At 37.7% G+C, this 19043-nt stretch overlaps 1 protein-coding gene across 7 annotated transcripts in view; it reads left to right on the top strand.

Moving 5' to 3' along the window:
- ZMAT4 (zinc finger matrin-type 4) overlaps positions 1-19043 on the top strand; it is a 367237-nt gene that overhangs the window by 217639 nt on the left and 130555 nt on the right. For 6 of the 7 annotated variants that reach the window (NM_024645.3, XM_017013836.3, XM_047422236.1 and 3 more), the window contains one exon: positions 5257-5484. The exons of the other annotated variant lie outside the window; for it this stretch is intronic. In NM_024645.3, coding sequence (NP_078921.1) covers positions 5257-5484 — 228 coding nt within the window. The remainder of the gene's footprint in view (positions 1-5256; positions 5485-19043) is intronic. 7 annotated transcript variants of the gene reach the window in all.

The following is a 19043-nucleotide window of genomic DNA, read 5'->3' as shown; positions in this document are numbered from 1 at the left end:
ACTCTCTGCAACTTACAGATATAGGCCACCCCAGAAAATATAAGTTTGGGGGAATAATGGCTTTTAATATATTTAGTTGAATCCAAAAGAAGGAGAGAGACTGTGATATGTATGTACACTTTGACATGTTACCTTTCTGCAATTTAGCCACCAGGGCCTTGTCAGATACTGGCTTATATTTATATTGACTGGCACAGGACTTAGCTACCTAAGCTCTAAATGACACAATCTGGAAGAAACAAGAAAACTCTTGGTTACCATATTTCTTTAGTCTCTCATAGTGTAAAGAACATTTTATTTATTCGTTCATTCATTTATTCATCAAAAGGCTTGGAATTTACACTATGTGTCTGTTGCATGCAAAGTGCTGGCACCATGAAGAGTTAGGTTGTAGAATATGTTAGACAATTAGACAATGTAGACAATTACAGAATGAGGAAATTTTCTGATAGAGACTGATATGGTTTGGCTGTGTCCCCACCCAAATCTCATCTTGAATTGTAGTTCTCATAATCTCCATTTGTCGTGGGAGGGGGGACCCAGTGGGAAGTAATTGAATCATGAGGGTGGTTACCCCCACACTGTTGTTCTAGTGATAGTGAGTGAGTTCTCACAAGATCTGATGGCTTTATAAGGGGCCTTCCCGTCCTTTGCTTGGCATTTCTCCTTCCTGCTGCCATGTGAAGAAGGACGTGTTTTCTTCCACTTCTGCCATGATTGTAAGTTTCCTGAAGCCTCCCCAGCCCTGTGGAACTATGAGTTAATTAAACCTCTTTCCTTTGTAAATTACCCAGTCTCAGGTATGTCTTTATTAGTAGGGTGAGAACAGACTAATATAGAGACACACACAGGAGCTGCAGAAATATTTTTATCCTTAAATCAACTATGATTATTATGCATGGAATAAATAAATATAAGATGAATATACATATTATTTTATAGTATTACTCAAGACAACATATCCAACAGGTGACAGCAGCTGATAACATACTCCTTGACAAATCTTGCACAAGGTACTAAGAGTGATGTTGAAATTCATTCCATGATGAGGTGATTCTTAGAAATCAAGTGTTGAAAACTGACTTGCTTCAATTAGCTCAAGCCTTAGAGGGCTTGCATTGATTTTATAGACTCTGAATCAACCATAGATCCATGATCTTTTGTTGAAAATATTTGGGGCTGATTGTATTTTGCAAATCAGAAATTGTAGGATTTGGGATGTATAATAAGGCACAGATACCATACACTGTGTTTATATGGAGATAGGACAGCAGTCCATGACCAAAGATATTAATAATTCTATTGCAATATGTATGTATGTTTATACCAAATGTAAAGACTATAAATCATCTCATGTGACTTCAGGTCAGGTTTTGGTAATAAATGAATCTGAAAAAACTTGAGTTTCGGGGGTTTTTGCATTTTTATGAATTGAAACAGGGATTGTGAAAATGTACTAGAAGAGAGCCAATGCAAAAGTGTCTAATGGGAGCTTCTGTTCCAATTTCCCTTACACATACACACAGATGCGCATTCACACAGCTAAGGTTACAAGGTGGTATTTAAGAAATGCCAAATGAATTGTGCAGTGAGTAAATGCTTTATAAGCTTAGAGGAGGGAGAACTACTTCTTGCTTAGGTTGTTAAGGCCCCACAAAGCATATGGGATTCAGTAGCATCTTGTGGGACAGGTGCACGGCTATGTGGAGAGCCTGGTACAGGTCAGCACACCATTCTGGTCATGGCCTTGGGCAAAGGCTGGTGGGATAATAGCTTAATGTTCTCTTGAGTTTCTTCATGGGGAAAGGAATCAGAATTTCCATCTAACTTTACCAATATTAATTTATAATGTTAGCTACTATTTTAGAGATTCTTTTATGTTATGGTGAAATGGGAAAATTAATTGGGGTTTTAAAAAGGCAAGTAATTATTTCTTTCTGTCTCATGGATGATATGACATTTTGGCTATTGCCTACAGCAAAACTAGCTCCATTGCTGTTGGATGTATTATGCTTCTTTCTTTTATGTGAAGATCTAAGAAAGCTTCATTTTATAGTTATTTTCAAAGAAAATGTGGCAATATTTAGATCATTTGTTCTCAACATTGGCCATGCTTTGGAAACACGAATCAGGCTGTGGGAGGAGGGAGGTTTTAAAAACATCCTGATGCTTGCTTCCCACCCCCAGAGTTTTTGATACAATTGATCTGGGGCACAGTCTGGACACAGAAACTTTTAAAGCCTGGTGAGTTTAATGTTGAAATTACTGGTTTCGATTAATTGACTTTTGGTTGAATCTATATAAAGGGCAGGTAAAGTAAATATTTAGTTAATATTTTTTGCAATTAGAATAAAAACAAACTATGAAATCAAAATAGAAATTAACTACATGTCAACTAAAGTGTTTTTTAAAGCATGTTTTTAAACCAAAAGATAATCTTTGCCCCATTCTTCATTCATTTTATTGGAATAATACACTCTGCCAAAGCATGTAAGTGTTAGGGTTCATGTACACACACAGATTTATCATTAAAACCTGGAAACTGCTCTCCTCCCACATAATTTCTATATTTGGTATTGAATCAAAGCTGTAGAAGGGACAGAGCTTCCACAATTTGTTCTGTCCACACCCTATGGGTTAGCTGCAAAGTATGTTAATTTTAAAAGAGATGGTGTGTCTGAATTTTTACCTTGAGGAAACCAGGGACGTTAGAAATTTGCCAAAGGTCACACAGCTCACTGATAGTGGAGTCCCACCCAACCAGAGTTCTGTCTTTGATTCAAGGCTGTTTTTATGCTACTGCCTTTGCCTGCTTTTATAGGCACTAAAGGAATATAAGCTGGGTTGAAATGAGTGAAGACAGTTACAACAGAAGCAAAAAAAAAAAAAAAATCCTTTAAACTTTCAGACTATACACAAGATAGTGGAATTATTCAGAGGGAGAAGCTACATCAAATTACTTTCTTATGTGCAAGATAAGATTATCTTATTTGATGAATATTCTATTGTGCCTCACTCCTACCAGGATATGGTGTAGAAGGTATCAGTTGATAAAATCGACTAAAATGTTTTATAGGGCTTACTTTAAAGAAAAATAAATTATGCTTCAAGAGTCAACATTTATTCATATTGTAGACATTTGATATGTTTTCCATTGCCATCAAAAACAATAGCTAATTATAAATCCTCAGAAATTGATAAGGATTTGGGAAGCTTTGAAAGTGAGATTCAATTACCTTCAGAAAAGTGGATAGAGATCTTTTCACATCCAGGTCAACTGCATATTTGTAGCTTTTATTTCTAAGTCATAGCAGAATGATACTGGGTGGCTGCTGGAATGGCCCACATTTGAGCTTTATTTCTACATGGTGATAACATGACCAAATCCCACAATGAGTCTTTTAAGGGGCGTACTGTTTGTGAGTCCCTGTAAAAATAACACCATTAAGTTTAATCTAAACTAGCTAAAACTTCTCGATATAATGAAATCTCTGGATAAAGAAAAAAGAGCTTCTTAGAAATACTGTTATGATACAGGCATTACTTGAATTAAAATGTCACTTAACAAGTATTTGTTTCTATATAAGTTATTTAATCAAAAAAAAAGTCCACCTAAAAGTTACCTGAAAGCTTGGGGTGTTGGTTAATTGGTTCCTTAACTTGTTATTGAGGTCTCGGACCTCAGCTTTTCCTTGGAACGACAACCCTAATGCTCGTGGTTTTGCCAGCTGCATCCTACATCTCAGAGACCAAGAACACACACAGGATGCTGCTATACTGCTTTAGGACTAATGGCCCATGTGAGAATTTACATACTGATTTCTTCTCCAAAATATTTGGATCGGAATATTTTTTCCAAAATTTAATGAAATCCTATATGAAATAGAAAGATGATGGATCTAGAAAAAAAGTCCCTTAGCTTATTAAGAAGTATGAAAAGGATCCTTGGGAAAGTATTGAAGGGAACATTGGCTTTGGGAATTCCAGATTTCATTTTAGTCCTGTTTTTCCCATCACTAGATATCTCACCTTCAGTAAGCCACTGGCATTTCTGAAATCAATCTCTCATCTGAGAAATGGGATAAAAGGCCAAGTCATAGTCCTTGTAAGGATGGAAGCAACTTGTATGTTGTAATACATAGAAAAGTTATTTTTACTTTCCATTAGTAAGCTCCTTCAAGTTAGGCTCTTTTTTGTTTGTTTGTTTTCTGGACCAGAAATAATCCTAAGCTCACAGTAAAATGTGTTAATTTAATAGGTGGAACAATGCAATCTCAAAATAGTGATACATGTCTATTCTGTTTAGATAAGTACACCTGATCTATAGTATTTTTCTTTTGATTTTTAAAAAAACATTGTTATTTCAGCATCAACGTGAGCAGGTAGAGGTTGAAAACAGCCTATTACAATAAACTGAAGCAGCTGACAATAAAATTAGCATGACTTCCTCAATTAATGCAACCCATGTCACCAAAAGATCAGTTTCTACCACTTAGCCAAATCCTTTATTTATTGGTTAATTACATTTATAGCACACAAACGTCCAATTCATTCATTCGGAATCTTTTAAGTCATGACTGTCCAATGTTTACTTCAAGTATTAGCTTTATTTTGACTGATAGATCACTCCCTTACCTCTAAGAATTTATTTATTTAGTTGCATTTTATCCAATATTTATTTTTAGTGTTATACACACACAAAAATAATTGAAGGCAATTACAATAGGCTTATTGCATTATTAGTGATGCTAGAAAAATTAAGTTATTGCTCAAGTTTTACCTGGCTCATTGAGCTTGTCCCCTGTATTTTACTACATTTTTTTTCTCTAAATGCCAATGTTAGAGCAGAATGCATTTTAAAAGTGAGTGGGAAAGGCCTTCAATAACCGTGTTTTCAAAGCTACTCCAGGCAGCCAAATACTTAGAGCTACTGTCCATAGCTCCTGAGAGCCACAGTGGGAATAACTGAGAATTTATTTTTAAAAATCTTATTATTCCCCTAAGGGATGGTCTCTTGAATTATCAGATTTTGGTATAACGACATGCAAACTCTGATCTCAATACATTAAGAATTTTTATTTGTGTCCCAACTCAAAAATGAAAGCTGGCAGGGCTAATTTTCCTGCTGTCAATGAACTCTTGGGGATGTTTAAGCTCTAGAGTGAACAGGAGACTTTTGGTCTTCGGGTATTGAGGAAGAGTGGACTCAGTGTTGGACTAACGTGGCTGTGGTTCTCTGGTTGTTTCCTTTCACAGCAACACCCCTGAGCCCACTTAAGCCCCCACGGATGGACACTGCTCCGGTGGTCGCATCTCCCTATCAAAGAAGAGATTCAGACAGATACTGTGGGCTCTGTGCAGCCTGGTTTAATAACCCTCTGATGGCCCAGCAACATTATGATGGCAAGAAACACAAAAAGAATGCGGCAAGAGTTGCTTTGTTAGAACAACTGGGGACAACCCTGGATATGGGGGAACTGAGAGGTAAGGGCAGCTCTTCTCACTTCTGCCACAAAACTGGGCTTTCAGAGAAAAGATGCGGCTTTCACAAATCGGAATGATTCTTCTTCTTGCTTTAATTATTAAGGAAAAAGTGAGGCTCACCCAAAAGAAATGGACAAGAAAGGAAATGAGCAGAAGGCTTGCTTTAGTTTAATTTTTATAATCTCCTTTGTTTCAAAGTGTTTATTTTCATATTTTTATTGACTGCTTTTCAGACCAAAGGCACATTCATGAACCAGATTGTTTTCCTTCTGCTTTATCTTTAACTGCCTTCTTTACCAAATGCTTTTGTAGAGTAGCAGTGTTTAAAAAAGAAAAAAAAGATGCTGAATGGGAGGCTGAGGTGGGCAGATTGCCTGAGGTCAGGAGTTCAACACCGGCCTGGCCAATATGGTGAAACCCCGTCTGTATTAAAATACAAAAATTAACCAGGTGTGGCAGTGCGCACCTATAATCCCAGCTACTTGGGAGGCTGAGGCAGGAGAATCGCTTGAACCCAGGAGGCAGAAATTGCAGTGAGCCGAGATTTTGCCATTGCACTCCAGCCTGGGCAACAGAGTGAGACTCTGTCTCAAAAATTTAAAAAAAAAAAAAAAAAAAAAAAAGATGATAAAAAGGCCAAATAGTATTATCTTACCTTAAACTTTTGTGCTTTTATAAATTTAGCCAAAACAAAGCAACAAATTGACTCAATTTAATGACTTGAAGCAAGCCCAAGCCCCTTCAATAAAATCTCCGGGAAATCACGGCAAGACAGTGCTGTGTGGCACTATGTAGTCAACACCTGTCTCCTCCGCACCATGCCCCTGCCCCAGACAGGGTTTTCTTGACAGCTAGAAACCATGTATCATTTGAAGTTCCTGTGAGGTTTCACAGAAGCTGCTGAATTTGGAAAACATAGCGTGAGGATTACTTCTGTGGATTCCTTAGGAAGCCATCAACCAATTTGTGGGACTAAATAGAATATTTTATCACCAGCAACCATTTAAGCATTTTTGATCACCTACATACTTTTGATCAGCTTGATGTTGGCAGCATAGAAGTACAGCAAAATTGCATATTATATTTTCTGAGAAAATGCATTTTTCTCAGAAAAATAAAAATAATTCTGCAAGGGGTGCTATTGATACTATACTTCAGATTTGGTGTAAGTTTGATGAGCTTTTGTGGGCAGGTCATTCATAATGGCTGCAAGCTATAGATAACAACATTTGCAAATCAATTTGGAGACGGCAACCTCAGTTTAAACAGGGTTCTGCATACAGAGCCTACAATTCTAATTACCGTAATCTGGCTGTGAACCTGTAAGGGGGATAATTATAACAGAAAATGACTTGGAACATTTCTAGACAAAATAAGTAATATAAAAGGTCATGCTACAATGAGTTGAGAGGAGGGACAGGTCACTTCTTAATATGTTGGTTGCAGAAGATCTCACCAAGGGAATATACTTGATTTGGAACTAGAAAAGTGGGTGGCATTTTAGAAGGTGAGAAGGCATTCCATGTGAGCAGAATCACATACGCATGGGCAAAGGTCAGGAAACAAGCTAGAGACAGCTAAGAAGTCATCATGGAAGAATCTTATACTGCAGCATAGATTTAAAGTTGGAGATCCATGGCTAAGTATATAGAGCTTGATTCGAGATTGATTTTTTCCAAAAGACCTGATTAAAAACAACAAAAAAAGAGCAAACATTAATAACACTTTATTTATGTGTATGTGTTCTAGCTACAGAAAAGCAACTTGGTGCTTCCTATTTCAGTATGTTGGATAAGCTCATTGCAGAAGCTTTTGAGTCAATGGTACTACTGCTTTTTGATGGAGGATTTCATATGTTTTCAGTCTATGTCTTGTTAAAGAAAATAGGCAGGATCTCTCCATAGCTGAAGGCCTAACTGCAATGCCTGTGTTACTGGCAGATAACAAGTTGTCTCAGTGACTCCTTCCCAGCTGGGCAGTGAAGGAGAAAAATAGGACTTTATGTTTGGTGCCAGTTATTATGACTTGAAGAAAAATTATTCCTACAGCACATTCTTCCTGTCTATTTTGAATTATCAGTGCTGTATCTTTTATGTACAACTACATCTTAATGACTTTGGTGTCTGAATTCTGTAACATTTGAGCAGCTTGTCTTTCATACAGAAGACAAAAAGGCTGCTTTGACTCGATAACTCAATGTGACTGTGACTCAGTAGCCCATGGAATGCGATTAGCATTGAGCACAATGTCCTTGAAACCAAACTTTCCACACGCTCCAGGTGATATCCTGATAGATATTTATTCAAGCATTAAATATTGCAAAAGCTTAAGAATAAAGCAACTATGGTAACCCAGCACTTTGAAACACACACACACAGGCCACACACACACCCCTCTATTCCTGGAATGCTTCTAATGTATGATCAATCAATTAATAAAGGCAAAAATGCTAATCCATAAATATAGGCATATCCATGACTTTAATAAAATGGTATCAGGCAGCTGAAGCACGATATAGCAATATAATAGGATGGTAGGCTTTTTCTCTTTCTCTCATAGCACTTCTCACATTTTTAAACACTGTCTTGTTTACTTACTTTTTTTTGTATTTTCTTTCTCTCTACTTACTTTATAGATTATTAGCATCTTAAAAGCAGGCATTTATGTCTGGTTTGCTCATTTATATGTTCAAAACACCTAGAGTAGTGGCAGACACATAATAGTTACTCAATAGTTTCTGAATGAATGAATGAATGAACAGAGAATGCCCTAAAACAAAATCACCTGAAATCTTACATTCTTAACATGGCAATCATTTTCATTTCTAGAAGGATTCTGATTTAATATTTTTTATAAGAAACTATTTCTAATTTTGTTTTAATTTTTTAAAATGATGCATATTATATGTATAGTGAAATGCAGAGATATTACATGTTACAGTTCTATGAGTTTTGACAGTGCAAACACCTGTGTAACCCACAGCCCTATTAAGATACGTAACTTTTCCATCATGGGAAAATTCCCATGTCAACTCCAACCCTCCATTCCAGAGAACCACTTTTCTCATTTTTTCATCATAGATTAGTTTTGCTTGTTCTAAAACTCCATATAAGTGGAATCATAAAATATGTATTTCTTGTGTGTCTGGCTTATTGTGGATCACACATTGTTTATGAAATTTATCCATTTATAGCATATAAAGCAAAGTAGTACCTTTTTTATTACTGAGTAGTATTCTATACACAAAAATACCACAGTTTGTCTATCCACTCTATTCATTGATGAACTTTGGATTATTTTGGTGCTATTTTAGATAAAGCTTTCATGAACATTACGGCACAAGACTTTTTTTTGGTCAACATATGTTTTACTTCTCTTGGTAAATAGGCATAGGATTGCTGGGTCATAAGTTGCATGTATTTTTAACTATAGAAGAAACTGCCAAAATCTAAAATAGTTGCGTTACTTTGCACTTCAAAAAGCCAACATATAAAAATTCCATAGCCTCACCAACATCTGCTCATGTCAGTCTTTTAAATTTTAGCCATTTTAGTGCATATAGGAGGGTATTTCATGATGCCTTTAATTCATATTTCCATATTGACTAATGATGTCAAGTACTTTTTTTTTTTTTTTTGAGATGGAGTCTTGCTCTGTTGCCAGGCTGGAGTGCAGTGGCATGATCTCAGCTCACTGCAACCTCTGCCTCCCAGGTTCAAGAGATTCTCCTGCCTCAGCCTCCCAAGTAGCTGAGACTACAGGTGCAGTGCCACCACGCCCAGCTAATTTTCGTATTTTTAGTAGAGACGGGGTTTCACCATGTTGGTCAGGATGGTCTTGATCTCTTGACCTCATGATCTGCCCACCTTGGCCTCCCAAAGTGCTGGGATTACAGGTGTGAGCCACCACACCCTGCCGTCAAGTACTTTTTAAATGTGCTTATTGGTCATTTGTGTATCTTCCTTTGTGAAGTGTCTGTTTATGTCATTTATCTGTTTTTAAAAATTTATTTTTTGCCTTTTATTTGAGATGAGGTAGAAGGCTTTCACGTATTATGGATTCACATTCTTTGTTGAATATATGCATTATGAATATTTTCTCCTAGTTTGTGACTTGGCTATTAATTTTCTTAAGCCCTTCAATGAGCAGGCATTTTTAAATTTTGGGAGGCTAACTTAACTTTTTTATTCTTTTATAATCATTGCTTTTTGTGTCTTACCTAAAAAAATCTTTGCCTGTACCAAGATATTCTTGTATGTTTTCTTCTACAAATTTCATAGTTTTAACTTTTACATGTAGGATTATGATGTATCTGAAATTAATTTTTGTGTACAGTATGAAGTAAAGGTTAAAATTTATTTCATTTTTATATATTTACACAGTTGTTACAGAAAGTTGCAGAAAATATTTACTTTTCCTCATCAAATTGCTGTGAATGACCTTTGTTGAACATCTTTTGATTGTGTGAGCCTATATCTGGACAATTTATTCTGTTCCATGGATCTCTTTGTCTTTATACCAGCACCACACTGTAATGATTTTTCAGCATTCTAGAAGTCTCGAAATGAGGTAGTGCAAGTTCTCCAACTTTCTTCTTCTTTCTCGAGATTATTTGGCTGTTCTAAATCCTTTAAATGTCTATATAAATTTTAGAATCAATCTTGCATAAAAGCTTTGTTGGAATGTTGAATGGGATTGAATTCAGGCTATAGACCAATTTGGGAATAATGTATTTAAATTCTTCAAAGTATCGAGTCTTCCAATCCATGAACATCCTCTATCTCTCTATTCATTTATGTTTAGGTTGTATAGGCAATGTTTTGTAGTTTTCAGTGTAAAGGTTTTGCACATCATTTGTTAAATGTGTCGCCAAGTACAATTGACTCTTGAACAACACAAGGATCAGGGGCACCAACCCCCTACACGGTTGAAAATCTGCAAATAACTTTTGACTCCTCAAAAACTTAACTACTAATAGCCTACTGTTGACTGGAAGCCTTACCAATAACATAGTTGATTAACACATATTTTGTGGGTTATACATACTTTATACTGTAATTTTACAATAAAGTAACATAAATAAAATGTTATTAAGAAAATCATCAGGAAGAGAAAATATATTTACTATATGTTAAGTGGAAGTACTCATCATCTTCATGTTGAGTAGGTGGAGTAGGATGAAGAGGAGGGGTTGGTTCTGCTACTCAGGGGTGGCAGAGGCAAAAGCGGTGGAAAAGGTGGAAGGAGAGGCAGACAGTCAGGCACTCTCGGTGTAACTTTATGAAATACATCATCATTTATTTGACTTTTTTGCTTTTTTATTTCTCTAAAAATGTTTCTCTACAGTACCAGTCCTTCCATTGCTTGCTTTTATTTCAGTATCTGTATCATATAAGGGCCCATGTCATAAAAGAAGTCAAAAAGCAGTCTTGAATCATTGGACCCCTTCTGCCAGATTGTCTAACATCGACTTGTTTTCTGGCACTGCTTCTTCAATGTCTTCTTCCTCGTCATCTGGCACTGGCTCAGATGCACTCACTTCCATCAAGTTGTCTTCTGTTAATTCCTCTGGTGTAGTGTCTGTTAGGCCTTAGATTCCAAACTTTCATAATGTTTTCTCTATCAGAGTTCTCTTCCATAGTGTCCACAGTCCTGTCCATAGAGTACTGTGTGTAATGAGCCTTAAAGTTCCTGACCCCCCTGACCTATGGGCTAAATTAAATACATTGTGTTTAGTCAGGGGTAAACCACTTTGACACCTTCAATGTTGAATTTATGGTGTTCTGGGTAGTCAAGGGCATTGTCCAATATAAAAAAAAAAAAACACTTTAAAAGGCAGTTCCTTACTGGCAAGGTACTTCCTAATTTCAGGGACAAAGCATCGATGGAGCCAATACAGAAAAATGGTTGTTGTTGTCCAGGGCTTCTTGTACAGCCAAAAGACTGGCAGCTGGTGTTTATATTTTCCTTTCAAAGCTGGTGGGGAAGGTGGGTAGCAGCTTTATAGATAAGGGCAGTCCTGATCATAAACCTGACTGCATTTGCACAAAACAGTAGAGTTAGCCTATCCCTTCCTGCCTTAAACCCTGGTGCTTGCCTCTCTTCCTTACTAATAAGTGTCCTTAGTGGCATTTTTTTTCCCTAGAATAGGGCAATTTTTTCTGCATTAAAAGCCCATTCAGGAGGATTATTTTCTTTTTTTTTCTTTTTTCTTTTCTTTTTTTTTTTTTTTTTTGAGACAAAGTCTTGCTCTGTCACCAAGCTAGAGTGCAGTGGCGCTATCTTGGCTCACTGCAACCTCCGCCTCCTGGGTTCAAGCAATTCTCCTGCCTCAGCCTCTGGAGTAGCTGGGACTACAGGTGCGTGCCACCAAGCCTGGTTAATTTTTGTATTTTTAGTAGAGATGGGGTTTCCCAATGTTGGCCAGGCTGGTTCCAATCCTGACCTCAAGTGATCCGCCTGCCTCAAACTTCCAAAGTGCTGGGATTGCAGACATGAGCCACTGCGCCCAGCCACTCCTCAATAGTTTTCTTAATGATGCCTGGGAACTCTTCTGCTGCTTCTTTGTTGGCAGAAGCTGCTCCTCCTATTATCGAACCTTCCCTTGCTGGCATTAACTTCTACAGCTTTAGATCCTTCACCTTCCTTTTGCTTTAAGTTGTCATACAATGAATTCACTTTTTCTCGAATCATATTAGGTATGCCTTTCCTATAGCAATCCTGCACTCACATAAAAGCTGCATTTTCAATATGAGGGCAAAAGTATTTCTCATAAAGTTCAAGGTTTTTATGCCTGCTGATGTAGCTATAGCAACAACTTCATAAATTTCTTTTTCTTGGTTTTTTTTTTTGTTGTTTTTTTTTTTTTTAAATAATGGACCTTATGCTGGATTCATTTATCTTGAAGTGGCAAGCAACCAATCTGAAGATCTCCATCCATAATATATATCAAATCATTCAACTTGTTCTTGTAGCCATGAGTTTCCTGTGCTTCTTAAGAGCACTTCCAGCATCACGAGTTACACTTAGTATAGATCCCATGGTGTTATTCAAGGTTTCCAGCATTGCATTAAACATGATGAAAAACACATGAGAACCTCGAGAGATCACTTTCTACTGCAGTACACAATTTACTGGGGAGACAAACTGCTTACGTGGAGATGATTAGCATCACATGGCATTGTAAGTGGATCCTCACAATACTTGCGCTCATTGCAACAGGAGATGGTTATGAAATTATTGCAGGACAGGGCCGGGCACGGTGGCTCACACCTGTAATCCCAGCACTTTGGGAGGCCAAGGTGGGTGGATCACGAGGTCAGGAGACTGAGACCATCCTGATTAACACTGTGAAACCCTGTCTCTACTAAAAATACAAAAATTAGCCGGGCGTGGTGGCGGGCGCCTATAGTCCCAGCTACTCGGGAGGCTGAGTCAGGAGAATGGCGTGAACCTGGGAGGCAGAACTTGCAGTGAGCAGAGATTGCACCACTGCACTCCAGCCTAGGCGACAGAGCGAGACTCTGTCTCAAAGAAAAAAATAAAAATAAAAAAAATAAAAAAAAAAGAAATTATTGCGGGCCAGTGTTTACTACCTTAACTTTATGCAGCTATGATTTAATACTGCATCTTTACATTTCTTTACATTTCTTTTGACTACAAATGGCGCCATGCGTGCAGTCTGTGTATATATGTGAAAGTTTTGATAACTTTCAACTTTTAATAATAGATTTGTGTGTATTTTATAATAGTAAATATAAAATAGACTAGTATCTACATATATTTTAGGCATTCATGACATACCTAATTTTTATTAATTTTTTGATATTTCTAGGCTTTGTGGTTCTCTGCTTTCTCATATTGTTGCAAATCTCCAGATTTTTTCCGATATATTGATTGAAAAAAATGTGTGTATAAATAGACCCATGCGGTTCAAACTTGTGTCGTTTGAAAGTCAACTAAATTTTGTGTTGTTTAACCCTAGTATACATTGTATTGTAGTTTTGAAACTTTATTTTGTGTGTTTTATTTTTATGTGTTGCTGATATATAGAAAATGAAATTGAATTTTGTTCATTGGCCTTGATTCCTGTGACTTCCACATAACTTTCTACTTGTTATTAGTATATACTTTAATAGTGCAAATAATTTCCTCCTTTTGTATTTTTTTAATTTTCACATTAATCATTGGGAACCCTGTGAAATTGTGTTATTCTTGCCTTTGCTTCAAGTAGCAAATCAAATTTTTAAAAATAAAATTATTTTTATAGATTAACAAAGAATTATAAATGAGGTTGGCCTAGATGGTTATGAATATGCATAACTTGATTGCTGACTCAACTCTAGTGTTATTTGTTCCAGAAAAAGATGATACCTGTCTCTACTTCCAAGTTTTAAATTAATAAGAAAAAAGTCTTATCTTCCTGAATATGTAATGTAATGTAGAAAACAAAGGAAGTTATTGAGTTATGGAATTATAAATTTCGATGGTCTGAAAGTACTTTAGAGGTTTTCTTTATAGATTAAATTCTTCTTGCCAGTATAAAACACAGATAGAAGGCAGTTTCTTACTTAGAAACAGTGGCAATGTAAATTATAAAATTATGGCTAGGTTAAGATAGAATATTCATTTTGCAGACCTTTATCATTTATTCTTTTAAATACTTTAGGATGGAAAAATGCACAGTTATTTTATTGTTGCAGAGGAAACGAGACTATTCTATTGTAATTCTCATCTGAAGACACAGAACAAAAGAATTCATTAAAAAATTTAATAATGTTTCCAAGAACCGTAAGCTGAGCTGTGCTGGAAAAGACAGTCAATATCATTGAATTATATCCCTTCTTTTTACAGAGAATGATTCTGAGGCCCAGAGACGTGAAGTGACTGTCCCCTTCTAAGTTCAGGGTAGACCCATGGCTCCTCACTGAGGGTGTCACAATTTCTGGTGATTCATCATTGACCACCCAGAATCCTGAGTAATTAACTCTTTTGTTTAAACAGTTGAGTTTGGGAGACTTGAATATTTTTTGTGTAGAAAACTTGCTTTGAACTGAAGTATAGAATAAGCACAGCCAACTCTGAGTTTTCTGGGAATGGATTATTTGCAACACGCATTATGTACCTTTAACAAAGGACTTTCCCCCACATTCATGACTTCATCTCAGCTGGAGTGAACATAGCCATGCAAAGAACTGTAGTCACTATTCATGGGGGCCTGGGTGAGAGAGGCAAAGTTCTAGAAAGAGAAGACATACTGCTGGAGAGGCCCCTAGAATGTACAATAGCTCCCCCTGTAATGCAGCTGCTGCCTCTCTGTGTGGAAATGGGGATGGATTGCAAGAGGATGCAGGCAGCTTATCTAGGACTTCAAATCATGAAAGTAGTATGTGCGACAGAGAAACAGATTTGCCACAAGATAAGCAGAACCTGGTGGTTGAGAGGCTTTACATTTTTTGTTTTTTTTGTGTGTGTGTTTTTTTGTTGTTGTTTGTTTTTTTGAGACAGTCTTGCTCTGTCACCCAGCCTGGAGTGCAGTGGCGCAATCTCAGCTCACTGCAACCTCCACCTCTCAGGTTCAAGTGATTCTCCTGCCTCAGACTCCTGAGTAGTTGGAATTACAGGTGCCCACCACCACGCCTGGCTAGGGCTTTACGTTTTGAATTATTTCTGCTGTGAGCTTTCAAGTGACAGAGGATTAACTGCTTCATATTTTCTTCCACTTAACCTTGGCATGGCCTTTGTCCACATCTCAGGCAGTGGACATCTTAGTCATGTCAATGTGGTGACACTTTTCTACCTTCAGGTACCCAAGTTACCTGTGCATGGGCACTCAGGCTGTGGGTCTGCTCCAAGACCAATCAAAGGAAAGACATTCTAGGTAAATATCAATAGCAATAATTATTTTAAAAAAGATTTATAAGGTAACCAATGCAACTATTGCTGTGCAATCATTACCTCCAAACTTAGTGGCTTACAACGACAAATGACACTTCTCATCTCTCACAGTTTCCATGAGGGGATTTGGGAGTGGCTTGGCTCAGTGATTCTGCCTTGAGGTTCTTCATAATATTGTAACAGAGACATCAACCAGGGCTGCTGTCATCTGAAAGCTTGAACGAGGCTGGAGGGTCTACTCCTAAAGCCAGCTCATTGCATTCTGGGTAATAGGTTAGTGGTTGCCAGGCATTGCAGAGGGCAGGACAGATGGATGATAATGGGGTATTGGAAGCATAATGGAAATTATACTTGGATCATGGTGGTGGCAACCTGGTTTTATGGTTTTGTCAAAATCTGAATAGCTATGCACCAACAAGAGAGCAGTGTGTACATTTAAAAAGCTAAGTAGAAGAAGAGAGAAAAGGCAGCTCACTCACACACCTGGCTTATTGGTGAGAGGCCTTTGTCTCCTTGTGGGCCTCTCCTTGGGGTTTTGAATGTACTGGTGTTGTGTTCGCTGGCTTCCTACAGAGTGAGTGACCCAAGGCAGCATCTGGAGGAAGCTCCCCTTTCTATTACACTTGAAGGTCTCTGAGCACCACTTCCACACATTCTATTTGTTAGAACTTCTTCATATCACCCACAGTACCCAAAACAAGGTGTTGCTGATAGAAGTCCTGGAGGATCGGTCTCCCTCCTGTCACCCAGTGGAAAAACTACACTCCACATTCTCCACTGTCTGTGGTACAGTCAGAATTATGGGTCTCAAACCGATGATTCAACATTTTCAAGTACTGAATACTTGACAGAAACTAGTGTCAAATAATATGTACTTTGATTACATTTAATCAATTAAAATAAAAGCATTAGTTCTCTTTATACTAATATTTTCAATCTCTGAAAGCTGTATGTATTGTATCTAGTTAAGAATCAGCAGAAAATAGGACCCTTAAACACATACGATAATTATAGAACACAATTCTAAATTAAATGTTAGTGAAGAGGTGCCAGAGAAAATACTCAGCTTAGATTACACCTGGTTATTTTTGCATTATTATTTTTAATGTGTTTTGACACCTCAGCTGTTCTATGTAGACTCACTCTGATCTTCAGAGCCCACATTTTGGATTAGATAATTAAACTGCTTAAATGGCTCATGTTCCTGTCATATTATTGGGGTAGGAATGAAGTGGGAAAATAGTGTGATATAGAAGAGATAATTTTGGTTCTCTTATTTTGTCATTCATTCATTCATTCACTTATTCAAACACACTAAGTTCCTGTTATGTGAGAGGCCCTGTGCTTGAATTTATAAGGGAATGTGACTCATCCTCTAATCTCAAAGGGTTTGAAGTCTGAGGAAGGGAGGGGGAGAAGATAATATCTTTATTGAAATAAACGTAACACAAAATGTGAAAAAAAAGCTTGGGAGCCCTCCAACCACAATGCTTTGGGAATGGAGAACACAGAAAAAAACGACTTCCAACTTGAAGTTAGCATTGAGATATGTAGAAGTTGGTGGCTAGTTTCCCTAGAGCGGAGAGATCAGCATGACTACAGGCCAGATGGGGAAGGGTGATCATAACTAGCATTCAGGTCAGATGGGACCTTGGGTTAGATGAAGGTAAGAGAAGGCTGAGAAGACAGATTGGAACCAAATTGTAAATGGCCTTGCATGTCAGGCAAAGCGGAACTGTATTTGGTGGCCACTGATGTGTTTTTGAGTAGAGAGATGAATACTTGTCAGTAGAGGATGTGATCATTGGAATGAGGAGATTCTGAAAGCCAGGAGACCAAATCGAATTCATGCAGAGGCCTGCTGAGGGCCTGGAGGAGACCAAGGCAGAGGTCAAGGGGGAAAAGTGGAACGAGTGAAAGATATATTTCTTGGTGCACTATTCAGAGTGCTCTCCCAGTTAGCAAAATGAAAATGAGCCTGTACATTAGAATTCTCAAAGACACCTTGACAAGGTCAACGTTTCCTATTGGGAACTCCAATAGGAAAAACAGAAATGTAATGAGTAACATGAGTAATAATTTAGATTTCTGTTCAGTCTCAAATCCAACAAGAAATGTAATTGATGAACATTCTCAGTCGTGTGTTTACATACTATAGGGGCATTCTTCCTTCAGCTGGGATGGGTTTTGCCTGTTATTGTTATTAATGAAGCTAATAAATGGAACACTCTCTAAAGACGCTTGGTTAAGTCTTCCATCATCACTGACTAGGTTCCAAAAGAGATGAGAGCTTGGCTTCTAAAATGAAATCATTTTTGCACTACTGCATCCATTTATGCACTGTGGGCAAACTCAAGCAGGAAATTAGAAACCTATCCGGATTTTAAACATTAGAGTCAGCTACTACATTGGAAACAGCCCTATATTTGAAATATGGAAATACTGTTCTCTGTTATTAGATGTTGACCAAGAAAAGGGCAAAAGCAACAACAAAACACCCCTACTCATATCCAAAGTACTTACCTGGGCCGGGTGTGGTGGCTTATGCTTAGAATCCCAGCAATTTGGGAGGCCAAGGTGGGAGGATTGCTTGAGCACGGGAATTCGAGAGCAACCTGGGCAACATAGTAAAGCCCCATCTCTATAAAAAATAAAAAAAAAAATTAGCCAAGCATGGTGGTGCACACCTGTGGTCCCAGCTACACAGGAGGTTGAACTGGGAGAATCACTTGAGCCTGTGAGGCAGAGATTACAGTGAGTCATGACTGCACCACTGCACTCCAGCCTGGGTGACAGAGTGAGACTCTGTCTCAAAACAAACAAACAAACAAAAAAATTAACCTGTTCTTTAGTTACCAATTTTGTCTACATTGAAGAAGCTGACAATATCATGTGAAACTGCTAACCAATTCATTTTTCTCCTCAGTGCTCTAAGACCCTCCCTTCCTGGGTGTTGACTAAATATCTCTATTGTTTAGTTTAAGCTCAAGAACGGGTGTAGTATTTTGCAGGAGCTCAGCATAGTGGTTTCATAAGGTTCTAGGAAGACGTATCCATTATGCTGCCTCTGAAAAGCTGTGGGCTTTTTTGTGGCCCACATTCATTTGACAAAACAAGAGATCCTTGTGAAAAGATGCAAAATCAGGAGAAACCTGTCCTAGAACAAATGGGAAACTATTTTGTTTGTTTCTAAAATTATAACTTTAACTCCATAGAAAAAAGTAGCCTTAAGTGTCTTTTATTTTAAAGCTGCTGCAGATGGACTTAATCCCAGTAGATGGGATTCTCTAAGTGATTGTGAACTGAGATTATGGTATAAGAAACAAATGTCAGGTTTACTCAAAGTAGAACATACCTATTGACGTATTTGTTTACTATCTCATTTTGACTAATATTTAATAAACACCGGCTGGGCATGATGGCTGATGCCGGTAATCCCAGCACTTTGGCAGGGCAAGGCAGGTGGATTGCCTGGGGTCAAGAGTTCAAGACCAGCCTGGCCAACATGGTGAAACCCCATTTCTACAAAAAATACAAAAATTAGCCGGGTATAGTGTGCATGTCTATAGTCCCAGCTTGTCAGGAGGCTGAGACAAAAGAATCGCTTGAACCTGGGAGGCGGAGGTTGCAGTGAGCCATGATTGTGCCACTGCACTCTGGCC

Source organism: Homo sapiens, chromosome 8 (assembly GCF_000001405.40).
Source record: "Homo sapiens chromosome 8, GRCh38.p14 Primary Assembly".
NCBI lineage: Eukaryota > Metazoa > Chordata > Mammalia > Primates > Hominidae > Homo > Homo sapiens.
Note: the sequence above shows the minus strand (reverse complement) of the source record. Positions and strands in the feature narration are given on the sequence as shown.